The 24,186-nt window shown below is 39.2% G+C and overlaps 1 protein-coding gene across 8 annotated transcripts in view, besides 1 other annotated feature; it reads right to left on the reverse strand.

The window, feature by feature from the left end:
* Positions 1–24,186, reverse strand: part of KATNAL1 (katanin catalytic subunit A1 like 1) — a 104,922-nt gene that overhangs the window by 43,124 nt on the left and 37,612 nt on the right. For 6 of the 8 annotated variants that reach the window (NM_032116.5, NM_001014380.3, XM_024449424.2 and 3 more), the window contains exon 4: positions 9,694–9,862. The exons of 1 other annotated variant lie outside the window; for it this stretch is intronic. In NM_032116.5, the coding sequence (NP_115492.1) occupies positions 9,694–9,862 (169 nt within the window). Of the gene's footprint in view, positions 1–6,177; positions 6,216–7,453; positions 7,723–9,693; positions 9,863–24,186 lie in introns of those variants that run through there. One more of the 8 variants, XM_017020793.3, reaches the window with a different exon arrangement.
* Positions 11,771–12,271: an enhancer, noted in NCBI's record as "H3K4me1 hESC enhancer chr13:30831661-30832161 (GRCh37/hg19 assembly coordinates)". NCBI's record gives its function as "activates a minimal SCP1, AML or CMV promoter by ChIP-STARR-seq in naive H9 embryonic stem cells {active_cell/tissue: H9 hESC(naive)}" and the evidence as "EXISTENCE:reporter gene assay evidence [ECO:0000049][PMID:30033119]".

Here is a 24,186-nt window from a genome sequence, read left to right on the forward strand (position 1 = left end):
AACAATAATAGAGAGCCAAATCATGAGTGAACTTCCATTCACAACTGCTACAAAGAGAATAAAATACCTAGGAATACAACTTACAAGGGATGTGTAGGACCTCTTCAAGGAGAACTACGAGCCACTACTCAAGGATACAAGAGAGGACGCAAACTAATGGAAAAACATTCCATGCTCATGGATAGAAGAATCAATATCGTGAAAATGGCCATACTGCCCAACGTAATTTACAGATTCAATGCTATCCCCATTAGCTACCATTGACTTTCTTCACAGAATTAGAAAAAAACTACTTTAAATTTCATATGGAACCAAAAAGAGCCCATATAGCCAAGACAATCCTAAGCAAAAAGAACAAAGCTGGAGGCATCATGCTACCTTGACTTCAAACTATACTACAAGGCTACAGTAACCAAAACAGCATGGTGGTACCAAAACAGATATATAGACCAATGGAACAGAACAGAGGCCTCAGAAATAATGCCACACATCTACAACCATCTGATCTTTGACAAACCTGACAAAAACAAGCAATGGGGAAAGGATTCCCTATTTAATAGACGGTGTTGGGAAAATTGGCTAGCCATATGCAGAAAACTGAAACTGGACCCCTTCCTTACACCTTATACCAAAATTAACTCAAGATGGATTTAAGACTTAAACTAACACCTAAAACCATAAAAACCCTAGAAGAAAACCTAGGCAATACCATTCAGGACATAGGCATGGGTAAAGACTTCATGACTAAAACACCAAAGCAATGGCAACAAAAGCCGAAATTGACAAATGGGATCTAATTAAACTAAAGAGCTTCTGCACAGCAAAAGAAACTATCATCAGAGCAAACAGGCAACCTACAGAATGGGAGACAATTTTTGCAATCTATCCATCTGACAAAGGGCTAATAATATCCACAATCCACAAGGAACTTAAATTTACAAGAAAAAAACACAAATAACCCCATCAAAAAGTGGGCAAAGGATATGAACAGACACTTCTCAAAAGAAGATATTTATGTGGCCAACAAACATGAAAAAAGTTCATCATCACTGGTCATTAGAGAAATGCAAATCAAAACCACAATGAGATACCATCTCACACAATTAGAATGGCAATTATTTCTTTTTTTAAAAAGTGATTTTGAATTCTATTTCATATCTGTGTTAGTTCCCCACTTTCATGTTACAATGATAACTAAAACTCATATACTGCCTACACAATGTGCCACGTATTGTTCTAAGCACTGGATATATATTAACTCTCTTATTAATCCTAAAAGTCCTATGAGGTAGGTACTCTTATTATTTCCATCTCATAGATGAGAAAACCAAGGCACAGAAAAGGTAAGTAAATTGCCCAAGGACACGCAGCTAGATCCTAGGGAATACAGCTCCAGAATCAGTGCTTTCAACCACTTTGTACCCTAGCATACTGCTGCACACCCCTGGGCTACTCTTACCCCAGTGTGAGAAACAACAAAGGAAAAAGTTAGACAAGGTTTCTAAATTGCATCCCACTCTTAAGACTTTATTTTACAAAGTAAAATAAGTTAATAAATGCAAACAGTGCTTACTAATTTCAGTATCATGCCCTGCATTTGAGTGTTAATACATTTAAATTGAAATTATGAATCCATATCATTCTGCACACCTATCAATACGTATGTTCTTTCAACAATATTTGCCAGTACTATGTGCCAAGCACTATTCTAAGCACTGAGGATATCGCAGTGAACCAAACAGAAACCCCTGCCCTCATGAGGCATATACTCAAGTTAGGAGGCACAATATATTAATAAGTAAAATATATAGTAAAACAGAGACAGAACAGCAAGTTCAAATTTGCCACAGTCAGCATATACTTCACAAATCTGAGGAACAACACAGAAACCAACAGAAAGAAATGAGAGGAGGGGAGAAAGAAGATGAGGTCAAAGAAGAAATGGATGCCAGACTATGCAGAGCCTTGTAGACCATTATAAGGACTTGGCATTTAATCTAAGATAAGAAGCCACTGAAAGTTATGAGCAGAAGACACAATCTGACCTATATTTAAGAGGAACTCTCTGGCTGCTCTGATGCCAACAAGCCAGGGACAGTGTGTTCTCTCATGTTTTATTTTACACTTTCTGTAGTATACAGAATGGCTAAAATGAGTGGTAGAGTCTGAGAGAGGATAAGAAAAAACATATACGGCTATTAAGGCCCCACATTTAATCTTACCATATAAGAAATACCAAATACCACATTAAATAAGAGCTCATGCACTCCTATTAAGACAGCCTTGAAAGTGGGAAACTTAAGATAGTTCAATAAGGATATACAAATTCTAAAATCAAGAAGCTAAAGCACTCTCACTTGGCAAGGCTGAAATACAGAAAGACTGTTCAGTCTAAGAAAAGTATGTGTATTAGTCTTCTGAATAAGAGGTTAAAATATTTGAATGCAACTCTTCCTATGACCTAAGACTCATCCCTGTCAAAGACTAAGCTGACATTTGCACAGGAAAAAAACAACGGTGGGTGAGTAAAAAACCAGAATAGCACATATTTCCACAAATGGGTTTAGAATTCTAAATCACAAGTTTGGTCAAATAGTTATTTAGATATAAAAACTACTTTACTATAATCTAGTACAACAAGGTAAAAAAAATAAAAACAAAACCCAGCACTATAAATTAGCTACCACCAGAGACAAAATTTGTGGAGCAACTTAATATTCAAAGGACAGAAAAAGATGTTTCTTAAAAACAAGTCATGATGATACAAATAGCCAATGAACATATGAAAAGGTTTTCAACTTCATAAATTATCAGGTAAATACACACCACATGGCAAATATCCTGGGAAAATCACAATGAGATATGATTATACCTAAAAAAGACTGACAACGCCGGGCGCAATGGCTCACGCCTGGATTCCCAGCACTTTGGGAGGCCAAGGCAGGTGGATCACCTGAGGTCAGGAGTTCGAGACCAGCCTGGCCAACGTGGTGAAACCCCATCTCTACTAATAATACAAAAATTGGCCAGGTGCGGGGGCTCACGCCTGTAATCCCAGCACTTTGGGAGGCCGAGACGGGTGGATCACGAGGTCAGGAGATCAAGACCATCCTGGCTAACACAGTGAAACCCCATCTCTACCAAAAATACAAAAAATTAGCCGGGCGTGGTGGTGGGCACCTGTATTCCCAGCTACTCAGGAGGCTGAGGCAGGAGAATGGCGTGAACGCAGGAGGCGGAGCTTGCAGTGAGCCCAGATGGTGCCACTGCACTCCAGCCTGGGCAACAGAGCGAGACTCCGTCTCAAAAAAAAAAAAAAATTACAAAAATTAGCCGGCTGTGGTGGCAGATGCCTGTAATCCCAGCTACTTGGAAGGCTGAGGCAGGAGAATTGCTTGAACCTGGGAGGCGGAGGTTGCAGTGAGCCCAGATTGCACCATTGAACTCCAACCTAGGCGACAAGAGCGAAATTCTGTCTCAAAAAAAAAAAAAGACTGACAACATCAAGTGTTGACAAGGATGTGGAGCAACTGAAACTTCCCCTCTGTAGGTAAGAGGGAAAACTTGTATAACCACTTTGGAAACTGGTGTTCTTCCCTAGTTTAATTTATGCATATCCTATGACCCAGCAGTTCCACTCCTAGGTATATGCTCACTAGAAATTCATGCATATATATGTCAAAGGATAAGCAGAAAACCATCCAAAGCAGCATTACTCACAAGAGTCTCAAGCTAAAAGCAACCCAAATATCCATTAATAAGAAAACAGATTTTAACTGTGATATACTACTATATGACAATGAAAATAAACTACAAATATATACAACACCATGAAATAATCTCACAAATACACCTTGAACAAAAAAAGCTGGACACAAAAGAATACTTACTGTACATAAAGTTCCAAAATGGGCATAATTAATTTATGGCATTAGAAATCAGAACAGTGGTTACCTTTGGGAAAGAGGTAAGTGGCAAGGATTGGGAGGGATCATGAATATGGCTTCTGAGGTGCCAAATGTTCGATTTCTTGACCCCAGAGCTGATGGTTACATTGAATTACAAGGCTTACATGCAGTGAGATGCTGAAGTTGTTTCTTACTAGTTTTTGAGAGCCAGCTACTAAATTTTCAGAAATTTTGTGAGCCAGCCGTGAAATGCAGCCATTAATAAATATTAAATTACACAAACTTTGAATAAGTTGTATTTTTAAAAAAGGAAATAAATACGCAAAACTCCTCACATCCTAATTATTTTACTATTACCTATTATCTTGAGGTTCCATAGTTTATTGTATCTCTATGGTGGAAACACCATAGAATGGTAGGCTGCTACCCAAACTCATCTCAACTATGAGTTCAGTGACATGATGTTGAAATCCATCATACAGGTGGTATTTATATCACAGAATTAGCAAATGCTATAAATCAGGGCTTGATTTATTGTTTTCCTGACTGTCTAGATTTAGAAAAGTAATGGGGAAAATGTTAATAATGCAGACTAAACTTAAAAGCATGTCATTTTTGCTGTTGTTACACTGTAAATAGCATAAAAAATCTGATTATTCTTCCAGTATTTGAAAACTGCTCAAGTCATTGATCAATGAGTAAAGCTCTAGCATGTTTTTATTGTTTCATTATCATCTTATTCTTTAATGTGTATACACACATACACCTTTTTTTCATAAAAGTAGTTACTAATATACACCACTGGCTAGATTATCATTATTCATCAAAAAAGTATACAATTTGTGCACTTTTCTTCAGTAGAAATATTTTCTATGAAGTCACTGTTCATTTGTATAATCAATCAATAGCTCTCAAAAGAATATGTCAATCTAGTTTGCAACATCTCTCCATATCAGATATCCCTAGACTTACTCATGAGAAGGAAAGTCTTCTCATGATAAATGGCCATTTGTTATGCACAATTTAATGAAATAAAGTCCTTTAACAACTTTAAAATGAATTCAGAGAATATAATTTGCCATACTTTAATCTGAATTCTATTTAGAAGCATATATAGCTTTAATCATGAGATAATGGAAGTACTGCTCATTTCACTGAGTTAATTAACCATAAAACTATAATCTTAAAAATACTTGGCTGGGCGCAGTGGTTCACGCCTGTAATCCCAGCACTTCGGGAGGCCGAGGCGGGCGGATCACGAGGTCAGGAGATCGAGACCATCCTGGATAACACGGTGAAACCCCATCTCTACTAAAAGTACAAAAAAATAGCTGGGCGTGGTGGCGGCCGCCTGTAGTCCCAGCTACTCGGGAGGCTGAGGCAGGAGAATGGTGTGAACCCAGGAGGCAGAGCTTGCAGCGAGCCGAGATCGCGCCACTGCACTCCAGTCTCTGGGCGACAGAGCAAGACTCTGCCTCAAAAAAAAAAAAAAAAAAAATACTTGAGAATCAGAGTTTTATAAATTAAGGTTACAAAACAAAAACATTTCTTCTGCTACCTAATATTTTACTTTTAGATTATCCTTCTTAAGTAAAAAAAATCCTTTCGTTACTTCTATGTATATATCTGACTCTAAGCTTAAATAGCAAAATAATAATAAATCCGATTTTCCCAGGTGCTATGGTCTAAATGTTTGTGTCCTTCCAAAATTCATGTTGGTATCTAAGCCCCAATGTGATGTTATTAGGAGACAGGGTTTTTGGAAGGTGGTTAGGTCAATGAGGCTTCTGCCCTCATGAACAGAATTAGTGCCCTAATAAAAGATTCCCAAGGGAGCCTGTTGGCCCCTTCCATCCTGTAAGGACACATAAGAAGGTGCCATCTAGAAGGAACAGACCCTCAGCAGATACCAAATCTGCTAGTGGCTTGATTTTAGACTTCCCAGCCTCCAAAACTGTGAGAAATAAATTTCTACTCCTTCTAAATTACCCTGTGTAAGCTATTTTGTCATAGTAGGAAGAGACCAGACACACTGAAATAAAACAGAAAAAATATAGCTTAAAAGTTAATTTATTCAGGCCAGGAGCTACATTTCATTAACGTTTGTATTTCTAGCACCTAGAAGTATTACTGACACAAATGTGCACTTAATAAAGATGTGTCCAATAAACAGAGTACTAACTAGCCTTATGGATGACCCTGTAGACCTCAGGGGGGAAAATGATAAAGCCTCAACAATAGATCACTATGCAAAGTGATTGTTACTTACTGAAAAACAGCATTTTAAGCTTGGATCTAACCTGAAGCCTGTCAGTAATTTTAAAAAAGAAAAAGAAAAAAGACATAATCAGTCTCAGAAAATAAACTCGTATTATTATAAGAAGACAGTAAGCATTTTCAAATAAGAGTCTGTATAGCATAATGATTAAAAAACTCAGGTATTACACATAGACAAGGTTCAAATCCTAGTTCACCATCTATTTGCAGTTAAGACTTCAGTGTCTCAATTTCTCTACACATAAAACAGGAAAAATAATGCTGAGCTCACAGGATTATGCAGGGATCAAATAAACCAATAAATGTAAAAAGCTTCAAAGCGGGCTTTTTTTGTAGAAAGCTTCAAAAAGGATAAGTGCGCTCAAGGAAGACTAACATTTGCTACTACTGCTATTATTAGTTGTTCCATCATACAGTTCCCAACACCAAATTAAAAATCCAAAAATATACCAGGGACCTTAAGCAAGATATGTCTAACTTCTCTTATCCTCAATTTTTTTTACATCTATAAAGTTAAGTACATAGTTAGAGTGCTGCAGCAGCTTTCAAAATTCTGACCCAGGCACAAAGTAATAAATGCATTCTGGATCATGAGCTGGTGTACATAAACATATGAATAAATTTGTATATATTTTTATCAAAATAATACTGTACTTATGGGCAATAAACTGAGTTTTCTGTTCTACTCTGCTTCAATTTTAAAGCTGGCAGCAATACACAAAACTGATCTTAAGAAAAACAAATACAATAAACACTGGGGACTCCCATATCTCTGAGGGTACTTCCAAACAACACTAATTTTCCTTTCTTTTTTTTTTTTTTGAGACCAAGTCTCGCTCTGTTGCCCAAGCTGGAGTGCAGTGGCTGGATCTCAGCTCACTGCAACCTCTGCCTCCCTCCCAGGTTCAAGCGATTCTCATGCCTCAGCCTCCCAAGTAGCTGGGATTACAGGCATGCACCACCACACCCAGCTAATTTTTGTGTTTTTAGTAGAGACGGGGTTACACTATGTTGCCCAGGCTGGTCTTGAACTCCTGGGCTAAAGTGATTCACCTGCCTTGGCCTCCCAAAGTGCTGGGATTACAGGCGTGAGCCACTGCCCCTGGCCCCAACACTCATTTTCAAATGAGCTTTTAGCAGAAGTGGGTATCTATTAGTTTCACCTAAGCTGCCTCAAAACCTATCGCAGCCTTCAGTGAGTTTCAGGAACTTCAGTATCCTAATGAATATTTGTGTGGTTACAAAAATTGTAACTGAGTCAAATATACCTTTCAAAGGCTTATGAAGTTTGCATGAGTTTGTTTTGAAAAACTGTAGTCCCCTCTGTTTCCACAGTGACTCAGAACATATCTTTTATCTCCAAACAACTGCGGAGTTCTTTTCTTTTCTTACATAAAAGGGTTACTTTCTAGTGACATTCTGAGTACTTACATGTCAATGAAAGAATAACTAAGATTTAGAAAATCATTTGATAACATTATAAATGAAAGACAATTTATAATTTCCAGGAAAAAAAATGTATTGACCATCCTGGCTAACATGGTGAAACAACGCCTCCACTAAAAATACAAAAAAAATTAGCCGGGCATGGTAGCGGGTGCCTGTAGTCCCAGCTACTTGGGAGGCTGAGGCAGGAGAATGACGTGAACCTGGGAGGTGGAGCCTGCAGTGAGCTGAGGTTGTGCCACTGCACTCCAGCCTGGGCAAGAGCGAGACTCCATCTCAAAAAAAAAAAAAAAAAAAAATGTATTTGACATTCAAAAAATGCTGCTTGATTATTTTGTTCTTTGCTTAAGAGTCACATTTAAAAACCAACATTTAATTGTTCTGGATCTCTTTTGGTAAATCCAATCCAGACTTTTCATCTAGCTTGGTAGGTGGGGAACTACATAACATGAAAAATCTTAAGGTTAAACAGGAAAAAGATGTGTGACTTCACAAATTCCATTCTTCCAGTATCCATGTCTCACTGTGAGACGCTGGCAAGTTTTAGCGCTCTGTACCACAGTTTCTTCATCTGTAAAGTCGGGATAGTAAGACACCTACTTCACGGGATTGCTTCATGAATTACTGTTTAATCACTTTGAACGGTGCCCAGCAAAGCAGCATCCAGTAAACCGTCACCATGGTTTCTCTTATGTAAATTCAAGACTGAAAGTTCCTTACCCTGTTCTAAAGGTTTATCTAAAAGCTACTAGCAAACTGGAGGTTGGATTTCAGCCGGTACTGTATTCTCTATAATGCAAACCAATGTTAGCTGCATAAAAATGAAGAAAAGAAACAAAAATAATATTTAAGATAAAGAGTTTCAAGTATCCATTTATGTGGCTTTTGATAATGGAGGGAACAAATTTTAAAAGTTAATGTATTTATTACTACCCTTCACTAATCCCAAAAAGGATCTGAAATAGAATCACTTGCTGTTTCATGGCATAAAAGCTCCCACAAACTACAAACATTAAAAAAATCTAATTCATTTTCAGTGTCCTATTGAGGCAGGGAGGTAGAATATGTCTTTGAACTATCTCATAAATAGAAATATTCAGAAAACACCAATTTTATTCTATCTTGGTCTATGTATTATGGCTATAAGACCTAGGAAGTTGGTCTGGAGTCCTTACCTACAGATCAAAATTACACGTAATAAAAATATTCAAATACAGTTTTGATGGATAACCACTTGTTATTAGATATATCTTTATTATACATATCATGGCCTGAATGTGATGACAGATCCTGAATCTCTAACTAGTAAAATAAAACTTTTCTGTGGCAATTTGATTACATTATCATTCATTTATGACATCACGGTGGAAACAGGAAATACTATCACTTAAAAATTTTTCTCTTTTTACTAAAATTAAGGCCTAAGAGACACATCAGATCATCCTGGCTACCTCCTTAATCTGTAAGATTATCTTCAACCCACTGTCCTAAGTCCATTTTAAGGGAAGTACAATTTCCACCGAATACTATGTTTATTCACCAATCAATTTCCTAAATAAGTACGTGTGCACAATGAACCCTAAGCAAGGGGAATCTTCTCAAGGAAAAGAAAAAAAATCTTGTTCTACTATAATCTACAGATAAATCAAAGATACTTATTTTTGGCAGTAGTAAATCATATCCCTCATCTTATTCTGTGAACAGATACATCTACCTTCTTGTCTTTCCCCATAACTATTTTCATTTATTGCTCATTTCTATTCAGAATACTTATTAAAATATTTTTCAAAAAAGTTTTAAAGCCGTATTTTTTCTTACAAGGGATCCATTTCACTAAATATTTTTATACATGTATGTGTATATAGATATTTACTACGCCTCTGAGGTGATTTGCATTGCAGCATGGCCTTCAAAATACAAAGACTACTTAGGCTTTGAATGAGACTTTTTTCTAACTCTTCCACGTCAAAACCAGGGTATCTTGAAAAGCCAACAAAAATCATAACATCCACCAAAAGTCCTGGGCTTCAAGTGAGTGAATTACAGAAAGACAGCATCTTGCCTTGTCATCTCTCCCTCTTGCTCTATAGTCCTTGTCCCTACTTGTAGAAGGCTTTTCACTCTTTGATATAGGATGTGCTCGGCCTACAGGTCCCCGGGCTCCTACTCCTGCCATTTCTTTCCTCAGAGGTCTTACTTCTCGATTGGGACGCCTGATCTGAGGTGGAGCTCTGACAAAAAAAAAAAAAAAAAAATTAAAATTAAAATTAAAATTAATCAAAGGCAAAAGTATGTCAATACTATCTTAGTCAATAAAATTGTTAAATCAAAAAGCCCGAAAGCTAATTTTTTCACCTTTGGCCAATTCATGGCCACAACTATTAGGTTAGTTTTCCCAAATTCTTTTTTCTAAAATATACTGGCTGATACAATTATTAAATACACACAAATGACACATAAAGCAGCAATTATTCTGTCAAAAGTTAATTATTAATCACCAATAGAGGGCAACACAGACTATCCCTATCTAATAATCTTAACAACATAATGGAAAGGCAATAATTTTATTCATTACTGTCCTAAACCAAGAATAAGTAACTTTTTTTTAGAAAAAAGCATTAAAAGCTGTAAGGACAGAAGTTCTAAATAAGTCTATTTGTACAGTTTACTAATTTCTGTTTTACAACCAAGATGATTTTCTCTGCTTCTATAATGGAAAATTAAACATTTCATTCATCAAATTACAAATGGCAGAGCTAACAATGAAATCTTCTTTAAGTAATTATGTTTTAAAATATTCATGTTTTGAGAATGTCTAAAAATCACAGAATCATTCAAATTATACAGTCCTCCAAATGTGATTAAAAATTTTGATAAATACATATAAGTATGCATGCAAAATAACATATTTTGTTTCATCTACTGTGGAACTTGTCTCCTGCAAACATTAAAGTTTTGAGGCTTCTCAGCACAGTTTTTGTCTCTTTTTGATTCTTGGGAAAGGGACTCTATCACTTCGTGTCTAATCTTAGTTCTCTCTTGAAATGTCTCTACCTCTGTTTTCCTACCTTTTCTCTTTCTATAGCTATGTATGTATCTGTAGCCCTCTAGATCCCATATGTGTATTCCATTTTTAACCACATGCCATATCTATTATTATCCCCTTTCCAGCCTCACACTTATAATTCACCTAACTCATCATGGAGTTCCGTTCCTCATATCAGAAAAGGTGACACATATGCATAATTCAAAGATAGGAAAATGGATAAAAAGCCATGAAGGTTGCAAACTAAGGGCCAAAACAGTAAGAAAAAGAAAAAAAAAGAAAAAAAAATGTGTTAACATGTTGTGAGTCTGATACAGCATATTTAGATGTTGGAATTAGACTACATCGTGAAATTTCTAGAAGGCCGGCAAAAACCGTATGTCTATCTATGAGGTAAACATACACTGACATCTTAATCCTTGGAGTTCAGTCCAGTTAAACAAGTATTTACTGAGGCACCCATTAGGTGGTATATGGCCTCTACCACACTGACCCTAGGAGGAGACAAAGACAAGCAATCTTGTGAAAGAAATCCTCAGGAAAGCAACTACAAAATAGTGCATAGTAATGGCTATGAGGCATTTTAAAATTTAAAGTATTATTACATTATCATCTTTAGGACATTAGTAGTCTTTTAAGCATTCTACCTATAAAATAAAAATGTGACGAGTCTGGTAAAGAATAAAAAATTGTAATTGTTAAATTGCTCTATTTCTAGTATTTCAATGTGACCACTGTTTTTTGACCTAATTTTTTTTTTTTGGATGAAGGGGTGGAAAGTAATAGAGTAAAACTTTACTTTTATTTGTATACACTTGTGTACATATAAATGTCTTTCCTGAGTCAGATTTATGGGTATGGCCAAAGACAATAAAATGAGACCAACAATCTTTTCCACACAGAATTTGCATCAAGTTTGCTCTTTTGTAAGCGGCTTCACCTGCTATTTAAATAGTCTGTTTTCTTTGTGGTCCTGCTTTTTAGACTCAAGAGCTAGCCAGAGCCTCTGCTCACCAACAGCAATCCCATCCCTCCCAGCTGGATGCCAGGCTGCTTGCCCATGGCTGGGCTTGCTGTGACCTCACTGCTCAGGGTGCACTGCAGCAGGTCTCAGACAACATTCCTTCTGCCTCCTCAGCTTGCGCTTTCCCCACCTCAGCTTGCGATTCAATGGCCGCCTAGGAGTCCTGCTGTAGTCCATTCTCCACACAAATCCCGCTCAGTAAAGCTGTATTGTGGAAGAATTGGTTCAAAGCTCTTACACAGGCTGCATTCTGAGTGTTTGCCATTACTGACCTTGTTCTGCCACTGAATATTCTGATGGGCTCCTAAATAGTCTGAGTGAAACTGCTCAAGAAGCCAGACGTGTCGTTTGTGGCAAGGCCCCTGTCTCATAGGAAGTGTGCCTCTGCTTTGTAAGTCTTCAGTTCCATCTCACTGCAATTGGATATTACATTTGTAACAGACTCTGTGGACTTCCCAAAGGACATCCTTGATTCTGTTCTGTACTTCTTTGTCCACTAGCACATCACTGCACAATGTCATGCTTCAATTTAAGGACTCAGTGACAGCTTCCAGGCTGTGTAAACAATAAAGGTCTCAAGGCTTCTTTTACTAGTCTCTCTGTAAAAATAGACTTTAGTAGGATTACATAGCATCCTTGACCTCTGCTCTAATGGTCAAACAGACTGACACAGTACTAGCTTACGGCACTTCAAATTTAGAGAATAACTGGTTAGATCTGCAGGTGAAAGACAAAAATATCTGTGCTGTGTTCAATTCTCCTATTTGAGATTTCCCTATAGGAATAAGAAATATGCCTTATTCTATCACATGCAAATAAGCCTCATCTCCTTCGAAATCCAATACTTCCTCTTTCAAAGCTATATTAAATATCAATATTATTTGTAAATGTTATTGGTACTGCTTTATATAGTCTAGATACGAGTCCTATGTCACATATATGCTTTGCAAATATCTTCTCCCAGTGTGTGATTTGCTCTTTTCTTTATTTTTGCATTTTATTTTCAACTTTTATTTTAGATTCAGGGGTACATGTACAGGTGCAAGTCTGTTATAAAGGTATTTTACCTCTCTTAATGGTATCTTTCTTGATAAAGAGGTCATGATTCTGTAAGTCCAATTTATCAATATTTTATATTTAATGCTTTAGTGGCCAGTTTAATAAATCTTTGCCTACCGCAAGATCATGATGATATCCCTCCCATGTTTTCTTCTAGAAGTTTTACTTTATTACTTTTAATATTTTAGGTATTGGTTATTTTATATTAATTTTTGTACGACGTGAGGTGGGGAAGAAGAGTATCTCGATTTTTTTTCACCCAAATGGATAATCAATTACCCCAGAAGCATTTACTGATAGGACCCACCTTTTTCTACTAAATTTCAGTGGTGTCTTCACAAACCAAGTAACTTTCCAGAATTTAATCATTAAGGATAACTTCTGGTTCTAAAAAGGACTTTAGAATTTTTTAATTATTTGCTATCAGATTATAAACAAGTATCGTAAGTAGGAATCTTTAAAATATTATTAATTCTTTCAACAAATAGCTAAATCTTAATGAATGAAAGGCACTATGCTATACAACGTAAAAGGCTGTATTAAGGGTCGGACACAGTGGCTCACACTTGTAATCCCAGCACTCTGGGAGGCCGAGACAGGCAGATCACTACAGGTCAGGAGTTCCAGACCAGCCATGCCAACATGGCGAAACCCTGTCTCTACTAAAAATACAAAAATCAGCTGTACATGGCGGTGGGCACCTGTAATCCCAGCTACTCAGGAGGCTGAGGCAGGAGAATCACTTGAATCTGAGAGGCAAAGGTTGCAGTGAGTTGAGATCGTGCCACTGCATTCCAGCCTGGGCCACACAGCAAGGCTCCATCTCAAAGAAAAAAAAAAAAGTGGGGGGAGGAGCCAAGATGGCCCAATAGGAACAGCTCCGGTCTACAGCTCCCAGTGTGAGCGACGCAAAAGACCAGTGATTTCTGCATTTCCATCTGAGGTACTGGGTTCATCTCACTAGGGAGTGCCAGACAGTGGGCGCAGGTCAGTGGGTGTGCGCACCGTGCACGAGCCGAAGCAGGGCAAGGCATTGCCTCACTCGGGAAGAGCGAGGGGTCAGGGAGTTCCCTTTCCTAGTCAAAGAAAGGGGTGACAGACGGCACCTGGAAAATCGGGTCACTCCCACCTGAATGCTGCGCTTTTCTGACGGTCTTAAAAAACGCGGCACCAGGAGATTATATCCCGCACCTGGCTCGGAGGGTCCTATGCCCACGGAGTCTTGCTGATTGCTAGCACAGCAGTCTGAGATCAAACTGCAAGGCAGCAGCAAGGCTGGGGGAGGGGCGCCCACCATTGCCCAGGCTTGCTTAGGTAAACAAAGCAGCCGGGAAGCTCGAACTGGGTGGAGCCCACCACAACTCAAGGAGGCCTGCCTGCCTCTGTAGGCTCCACCTCTGGGGGCAGGGCACAGACAAACAAAAAGACAGCAGTAACCTCTACAGACTTAAATATCCCTGTCTCACAGCTTTGAAGAGAGCAGTGGTTCTCCCAGCACGCAGCTGGAGATCTGAGAACAGGCAGACTGCCTCCTCAAGTGGGTCCCTGACCCCGACCCCCCAGCAGCCTAACTGGGAGGTACCCCCCAGCAGGGGCAGACTGACACCTCACACGGCTGGGTACTCCAACAGACCTGCAGCTGAGGGTCCTGTCTGTTAGAAGGAAAACTAACAAACAGAAAGGACATCCACACCAAAAACCCATCTGTACATCACCATCATCAAAGACCAAAAGTAGATAAAACCACAAAGATGGGGAAAAAAACAGAGCAGAAAAACTGGAAACTCTAAAAAGCAGAGTGCCTCTCCTCCTCCAAAGGAATGCAGTTCCTCACCAGCAACGCAACAAAGCTGGACGGAGAATGACTTTGATGAGCTGAGAGAAGGCTTCAGACGATCAAATTACTCTGAGCTATGGGGGGAAATTCAAACCAAAGGCAAAGAAGTTGAAAACTTTGAAAAAAGTTTAGAAGAATGTATAACTAGAATAACCAACACAGAGAAGTGCTTAAAGGAACTGATGGAGCTGAAAACCAAGGCTCGAGAACTACGCAAAGAATGCAGAAGCCTCAGGAGCCGATGAGATCAACTGGAAGAAAGGGTATCAGCGATGGAAGATGAAGTGAATGAAATGAAGCGAGAAGGGAAATTTAGAGAAAAAAGGATAAAAAGAAATGAGCAAAGCCTCCAAGAAATATGGGACTATGTGAAAAGACCAAATCTACATCTGATTTGTGTACCTGAAAGTGACGGGAGAATGGAACCAAGTTGGAAAACACTCTGCAGGATATCATCCAGGAGAACTTCCCCAATCTAGCAAGGCAGGCCAACATACAGATTCAGGAAATACAGAGAACGCCACAAAGATACTCCTCGAGAAGAGCAACTCCAAGACACATAATTGTCAGATTCACCAAAGTTGAAATGAAGGAAAAAATGTTAAGGGCAGCCAGAGAGAAAGGTCGGGTTACCCACAAAGGGAAGCCCATCAGACTAACAGCGGATCTCTCGGCAGAAACTCTACAAGCCAGAAGAGAGTGGGGGCCAATATTCAACATTCTTAAAGAAAATAATTTTCAACCCAGAATTTCATATCCAGCCAAACTAAGCTTCATAGTGAGGGAGAAATAAAATACTTTACAGACAAGCAAATGCTGAGAGATTTTGTCACCACCAGGCCTGCCCTAAAAGAGCTCCTTAAGGAAGCACTAAACATGGAAAGGAACAACCGATACCAGCCGCTGCAAAATCATGCCAAAATGTAAAGACCATCGAGACTAGGAAGAAACTGCATCAACTAACGAGCAAAATAACCAGCTAACATCATAATGACAGGATCAAATTCACACATAACAATATTAACTTTCAATGTAAATGGACTAAATGCTCCAGTTAAAAGACACAGACTGGCAAATTGGATAGAGTCAAGACCCATCAGTGTGCTGTATTCAGGAGACCCATCTCACGTGCAGAGACACACATAGGCTCAAAATAAAAGGATGGAGGAAGATCTACCAAGCAAATGGAAAACAAAAATAGGCAGGGGTTGCAATCCTAGTCTCTGATAAAACAGACTTTAAACCAACAAAGATCAAAAGAGACAAAGAAGGCCATTACATAATGGTAAAGGGATCAATTCAACAAGAACAGCTAACTATCCTAAATATATATGCACCCAATACAGGAGCACCCAGATTCATACAGCAAGTCCTGAGTGACCTACAAAGAGACTTAAGACTCCCACACATTAATAATGGGAGACTTTAACACCCCACTGTCAACATTAGACAGATCAACGAGACAGAAAGTCAACAAGGATACCCAGGTATTGAACTCAGCTCTGCACCAAGCGGACCTAATAGACATCTACAGAACTCTCCACCCCAAATCAACAGAATATACATTTTTTTCAGCACCACACCACACCTATTCCAAAATTGACCACATACTTGGAAGTAAAGTTCTCCTCATCAAATGTAAAAGAACAGAAATTATAACAAACTATCTCTCAGACCACAGTGCAATCAAACTAGAACTCAGGATTAAGAATCTCACTCAAAACCGCTCAACTACACGGAAACTGAACAACCTGCTCCTGAATGACTACTGGGTACATAACGAAATGAAGGCAGAAATAAAGATGTTCTTTGAAACCAACGAGAACAAAGACACAACATACCAGAATCTCTGGGACGCATTCAAAGCAGTGTGTAGAGGGAAATTTATAGCACTAAATGCCCACAAGAGAAAGCAGGAAAGATTCAAAATTGACACCCTAACATCACAATTAAAAGAACTAGAAAAGCAAGAGCAAACACATTCAAAAGCCAGCAGAAGGCAAGAAATAACTAAAATCAGAGCAGAACTGAAGGAAATAGAGACACAAAAAACCCTTCAAAAAATTAATGAATCCAGGAACTGGTTTTTTGAAAGGATCAAAAAAATGGATAGACCGCTAGCAAGACTGATAAAGAAGAAAAGAGAGAAGAATCAAATAGATGCAATAAAAAATGGTAAAGGGGATATCACCACCGATCCCACAGAAATACAAACTACCATCAGAGAATACTATAAACACCTCTACGCAAATAAACTAGAAAATCTAGAAGAAATGGATAAATTCCTCGACACATACACCCTCCCAAGACTAAACCAGGAAGAAGTTGAATCTCTGAATAGACCAATAACAGGAGCTGAAATTGTGGCAATAATCAATAGCTTACCAACCAAAAAGAGTCCAGGACCAGATGGATTCACAGCCGAATTCTACCAGAGGTACAAGGAGGAACTGGTACCATTCCTTCTGAAACTATTCCAATCAATAGAAAAAGAGGGAATCCTCCCTAACTCATTTTATGAGGCCAGCATCATCCTGATACCAAAGCCGGGCAGAGACACACCCAAAAAAGAGAATTTCAGACCAATATCCTTGATGAACATTGATGCAAAAATCCTCAATAAAATACTGGCAAACCGAATCCAGCAGTACATCTAAAAGCTTATCCACCATGATCAAGTGGGCTTCATCCCTGGGATGCAAGGCTGGTTCAATATACACAAATCAATAAATGTAATCCAGCATATAAACAGAACCATAGACAAAAACCACATGATTATCTCAATAGATGCAGAAAAGGCCTTTGACAAAATTCAACAACGCTTCATGCTAAAAACTCTCAATAAATTAGGTATTGATGGGACGTATCTCAAAATAATAAGAGCTATTCATGACAAACTCACAGCCAATATCATACTGAATGGGCAAAAACTGGAAGCATTCCCTTTGAAAACGGGCACAAGACAGGGATGCCCTCTCTCACCACTCCTATTCAACATAGTGTTGGAAGTTCTGGCCAGGGCAATTAGGCAGGAGAAGGAAATAAAGGGTATTCAATTAGGAAAAGAGGAAGTCAAATTGTCCCTGTTTGCAGACGACATGATTGTATATCTAGAAAACCCCATCGTCTCAGCCCAAAATCTCCTTAAGCTGATAAGCAACTTCAGCAAAGTCTCAGTATACAAAATCAATGTACAAAAATCACAAGCATTCTTATACACCAACAACAGACAAAATCATGAGAGAACCAAATCATGAGTGAACTCCCATTCACAATTGCTTCAAAGAGAATAAAATACCTAGGAATCCAACTTACAAGGGATGTGAAGGACCTCTTCAAGGAGAACTACAAACCACTGCTCAAGGAAATAAAAGAGGATACAAACAAATGGAAGAACATTCCATGCTCATGGGTAGGAAGAATCAATATCGTGAAAATGGCCATACTGCCCAAGGTAATTTACAGATTCAATGCCATCCCCATCAAGCTACCAATGACTTTCTTCACAGAATTGGAAAAAACTACTTTAAAGTTCATATGGAACCAAAAAAGAGCCCACATCGCAAAGTCAATCCTAAGCCAAAAGAACAAAGCTGGAGGCATCACACTACCTGACTTCAAACTATACTACAAGGCTACAGTAACCAAAACAGCATGGTACTGGTACCAAAACAGAGATATAGATCAACGGAACAAAACAGAGCCCTCAGAAATAACGCCGCATATCTACAACTATCTGATCTTTGACAAACCTCAGAAAAACAAGCAATGGGGAAAGGATTCCCTATTTAATAAATGGTGCTGGGAAGACTGGCTAGCCATATGTAGAAAGCTGAAACTGGATCCCTTCCTTACACCTTATACAAAAATTAATTCAAGATGGATTAAAGACTTAAATGTTAGACCTAAAACCATAAAAACCCTAGAAGAAAACCTAGGCATTACCATTCAGGACATAGGCATGGGCAAGGACTTCATGTCTAAAACACCAAAAGCAATGGCAACAAAAGACAAAATTGACAAATGGGATCTAATTAAACTAAAGAGCTTCTGCACAGCAAAAGAAACTACCATCAGAGTGAACAGGCAACCTACAAAATGGGAGAAAATTTTCACAACCTACTCATCTGACAAAGGGCTAATATCCAGAATCTACAATGAACTCAAATTTACAAGAAAAAAACAAACAACCCCATCAAAAAGTGGGTTAAGGACATGAACAGACACTTCTCAAAAGAAGACATTTATGCAGCCAAACAACACATGAAAAAATGCTCATCATCACTGGCCATCAGAGAAACGCAAATCAAAACCACAATGAGATACCATCTCACACCAGTTAGAATGGCAATCATTAAAAAGTCAGGAAACAACAGGTGCTGGAGAGGATGTGGAGAAATAGGAACACTTTTACACTGTTGGTGGGACTGTAAACTAGTTCAACCATTGTGGAAGTCAGTGTGGCGATTCCTCAGGGATCTAGAACTAGAAATACCATTTGACCCAGCCATCCCATTACTGGGTATATACCCAAAGGACTATAAATCATGCTGCTATAAAGACACATGCACATGTATGTTTATTGCGGCATTATTCACAATAGCAAAGACTTGGAACCAACCCAAATGTCCAACAATGATAGACTGGATTAAGAAAATGTGGCACATATACACCATGGAATACTATGCAGCCATAAAAAATGATGAGTTCACGTCCCTTGTAGGGACATGGATGAAATTGGAAATCATCATTCTCAGTAAACTATCGCAAGAACAAAAAACCAAACACCGCATATTCTCACTCATAGGTGGGAATTGAACAATGAGAACACATGGACACAGGAAGGGGAACATCACACTCTGGGGACTGTTGTGGGGTGGGGGGACGGGGGAGGGATAGCATTGGGAGATATACCTAACGCTAGATGACGAGTTAGTGGGTGCAGCGCACCAGCATGGCATATGTATACATATGTAACTAACCTGCACATTGTGCACATGTACCCTAAAATTTAAAGTATAATAATAATAAATTTAAAAAATAAAAAATAAAAAAATTAAAAAAAAAGAAAAAAAAGCATTCCCTCATTATCTAAGCAAATCAATCACATTCAGAAATATATTGAGCACCACAGACAACGTTATGATACAAGTTGATATGAGTTGTTTTGTATCCTCAAGGGTGCTTTTTGTGCAGAGAATACTCTTCAGAGGCTTACTTTGATTTTTAAAATATTCAACTTATTAAATTTAACTATGCAAAAAATAAGTTTTTCCTTAAAGCTTTCAGATTCAGCTAGTTTTTTTTTCTACTTATGAGCCTAGCAGATTTTAGAAGTCCCTTTTAAGAGATTTTTTTTTTTTTTAAATCAGTCTCTTGGCCAGGCGTGGTGGCTCACACCTGTAATCCCAGCACTTTGGGAGGCTGAGGCGGGCAGATCACCTGAGGTCAGGAGTTCGAGACCAGCCTGCCCAACATGGGGAAACTCCGTCTCTACTAAAAATACAAAAAATTTGCCAGGCATGGTGGCACGTGCCTATAATCCCAGCTACTTGAGAGGCGGGGGCAGGAGAATTGCTTGAACCCAGGAGGTGGAGGTTGCCATGAGCCGAGTTTGTGCCACTGCACTCCAGCCTGGGCAAGATGAATGAAACTCCATCTCAAAAAAAAAAAAAAAAAAAAAAAAGTCTCACTCACTCTGCCACCCAGGCTGGAGTGCAGTGGCCCACTCTCAGCTCACTGCAACCTCTACCTCCCAGGTTCAAGCGATTCTTCTGCCTCAGCTGGGATTACAGGAATGTGCCACTATGCCCAGCTAATTTCTGTATTTTTGTGGAGACAGGGTTTCACCATGTGGGCCAAGCTGGTCTTGAACTCCTGTCCTCAAGTGATCCGCCCACCTCGGCCTCCCAAAGTGCTGGGATTACAGGGGTGAGCCACTGCACCTGGCCCGCTTTTAAGAGATGTTAAAATAATGCTTGGTCCCAATTACAAACCTGGTTAATAAAATGCCACCACAATTTTGTAACCAACATTTATAAATTTAATATATTTTCTTCTTAGTTCTTGCCTTACTTAGTAAAGCATAATTTACATATAATTACTTTTATAAACATAATAAATTAAGTTTACAAATAAGATAATATTAAATTTCTCCTAAGAGTTCCAATAAAGTACTTAACATGCATTTTCATGCATGAAAAAAATCACAAGTCTAAATCATTCCATAATACATTTAAAGTGGAATTGCATGCATGTCACCCTCATTAGCCCATTTTCTTAAATATTCCAAATACATAAAAAATAAATATGCAAATATACACATATCCTTTAACAGAAAAATATTACCAGTTTTTATCCTCTTAGACATGCCTAGCCTTAATTTTAAATCTCCCTGGAGTTAAAAGATCTGCTTAACTACTACAGAAAACACTTATCATCCAACTTAACCAAGGTAATAGTAAACCAGAAATTTCAGATGGTTTAAGATCTGGAGGTACAGACATACTTCTCACACCAAAAATTATACAATCCCATTTAATATGTTGGGGGTTGGATTCCTAGCATTTTGATGTTACCCACAACAGTTATTTAAGCTGGGATATTGAGTGGATTCTTGTCAGTGTTTCGGATGAGCCATACTAAATCTTATTTAGAGTTGCTAAGCCATTCATTCAATCATTTTGAGAGTGGGGCAAGGGGTGTGAAAACTACTAAACCTTTCACTAATGATGGAATTCCATCATTCCCAGGCAAGTTAATCACTGCCTGTATCTTGCTTTTCTTTGGCTCCACAGATAGGTCGTTGCCTTTACCATTAAATTCTAAAAATCTCTGAACTTGAAAAACCTAAGATACTTAATTTATTTTTTGCCTAACTCTAAAGACTTTAAAACTTGACGAACAATGATATTTTTTCATATTATCAGGACTATACAACTTCTACTCTACAGATAATAAAATAGTGTCAGTTGAACTTTAGATAAATTCTCACAGGTCTTTGTCCAGTTTATCGTCAACTTCTGAGATTATTCTACTGATTTATAAAACCAAGTGGATACTAAAAGCATGTGACATACTGCCAGCATTCACCAAGCCTATAATTTAGCTGAATGTACATACATATTTTACAATTATACTAGACATCTCTTTCTGTTCACATAAACCCTACAACTAAAGCCTTGCTGAAGAAGAGTCCTCAACTCAAATATAAACAAGTCACACAAAGAAAACAAATTGTAAGATAAGCCCCTCAAGAACTGATAATAGAACTACAAAAATAATATGCAGTGACAACAAAAATAAATAAGCTGAAAACCTTCCCACAATAAAACATGCAGGAATTCTAAGTAAAATGTAACCAATATCCTTTTACATACATAGCTGATCTTACCATAAGGTAAGTGAAATACCTAACAGCCAAGAAAGAGAGAGAGAGAAATAGAAGCACATGAGCTAAAGACATGGCAGTCCTTCAGTGTTTTGGGCCTCAGACATCCGAGGGCTGGAGATTTATTGACACAAGTGAGATCTGAGACAGGGTCGTAGCCCCACACAAGTCAAAGAAGTTGAATTGAGACTACCACATAAAGCCAGGACCCTCAAAGGACAACCACCTTGGTAAAAGCGTAGAATTTTAAAGACAGAAGAAATAAAAGTACATTTTTCTACTTGGGTCTATGTTCTACATTTGTGGAGTGAAGCGAAAGTGCCCCCTAGATATAGTAGCAAAGGGCCCATCCTCATGTGATTTATGACTCAATTTTACACTACCTTAAGCAGAGAAAGTGGGCCTAAAAGTGGGCCTACGCAGGTAACATCCCTAAGGCACCTGGCTGAAGCAAACACAGATGTCTCAGGAGTGACAACTTCTTCCAAACAAGCCACATATTGAAATGACTTGTTAAACCCTTACTGAAGAAACATTCTCAACTTTACCACAAACAAGGCTCACCAGAAATAACAAAAAGCAAGATGACTCTCAATAACTTTGATAAGAGAACTGCCAGCTATAGACTACAAAATAAATATGTTTAATATGATCAGAAGCATTTAAAAATTTTCGAGCAAAAGATGCACAAGTCTTAAGTAGTATAAATAAAAATAAATCTACATTTAAATAATTCACAGTGACACTGTTTAACACAAAGACAGAAAAAACCTTAAAACCAATGAGAAAAAAAGTTACCTATAAACAAACAACAAACAGACTAATAACACAAGCCAGAAGACAAAATACTATTACTAATGTCATCTTCAAAGCATAGAGACTAACTACCAAACTAGTATTTTATACTAAAATATCATGTAAGAGTGACAGGAAAATACAGATATTTTGAGAAAAGAACTGTTAGTTTACCACTAATAGAGACCTTGGCTGTAAAAACTACTATTCTTCAGCAAAGATGAAACTGAATCTAGAAATAGTGAAATGCAAGAAATGGTAAACAAAACCATTGGCAAACGCATGAATAAACCTAAATAAGCATTCTACTTACTCATTCTTTCAACAAATACTTACTGAATACTTACACTGTGGCAGGCAATATTCTTGGTGCTGGGGGTAAAGCAGCAAACAAATAAAAGGCCCTGACCTTACAAAGCTTACAATCTAGCAGGAATGGTAACACACACACAATATAGTATAATATATAATATAATAATATCAGGTGACAATGAGTACTATAAAGAAAAATAAAGCTGCTCCCTCTCCCTCTCCCCCTCCCCCTCTCCCCACGGTCTCTCTCTCCCTCTCTTTCCATGGTCTCCCTCTGATGCCGAGCCGAAGCTGGACTGTACTGCTGCCATCTCGGCCCACTGCAACCTCCCTGCCTGATTCTCCTGCCTCAGCCTGCTGAGTGCCTGCGATTGCAGGCGCACGCAGCCACGCCTGACTGGTTTTCGTATTTTTTTGGTGGAGACGGGGTTTCGCTGTGTTGGCCGGGCTGGTCTCCAGCTCCTAACCGCGAGTGATCCACCAGCCTCGGCCTCCCGAGGTGCCGGGATTGCAGACGGAGTCTGGTTCACTCAGTGCTCAATGGTGCCCAGGCTGGAGTGCAGTGGCGTGATCTCGGCTCGCTACAACCTCCGCCTGCCTTGGCCACCCAAAGTGCCGAGATTGCAGTCTCTGCCCGGCCGCCACCCCGTCTAGGAAGTGAGGAGCGTCTCTGCCTGGCTGCCCATCGTCTGGGACGTGAGGAGCCCCTCTGCCTGGCTGCCCAGTCTGGAAAGTGAGGAGCGTCTCTGCCCGGCCGCCATCCCATCTAGGAAGTGAGGAGCGCCTCTGCCTGGCCGCCCATCGTCTGGGATGTGAGGAGCGCCTCTACCCGGCCGCGACCCCGTCTGGGAGGTGAGGAGCGTCTCTGCCCGGCCGCCCCGTCTGAGAAGAGAGGAGACCCTCCGCCTGGCAACCGCCCCGTCTGAGAAGTGAGGAGCCCCTCCGCCCGGCAGCCGCCCCATCTGAGAAGTGAGGAGCCCCTCCGCCCGGCAGCCACCCCGTCTGGGAAGTGAGGAGCGTCTCCGCCCGGCAGCCACCCCGTCCAGGAGGGGGGGGTCAGCCCCCTGCCCGGCCAGCCGCCCCGTCCGGGAG

This window comes from Homo sapiens, chromosome 13 (genome assembly GCF_000001405.40).
Source record: "Homo sapiens chromosome 13, GRCh38.p14 Primary Assembly".
In the NCBI taxonomy this organism is placed as follows: Eukaryota; Metazoa; Chordata; class Mammalia; order Primates; family Hominidae; genus Homo; species Homo sapiens.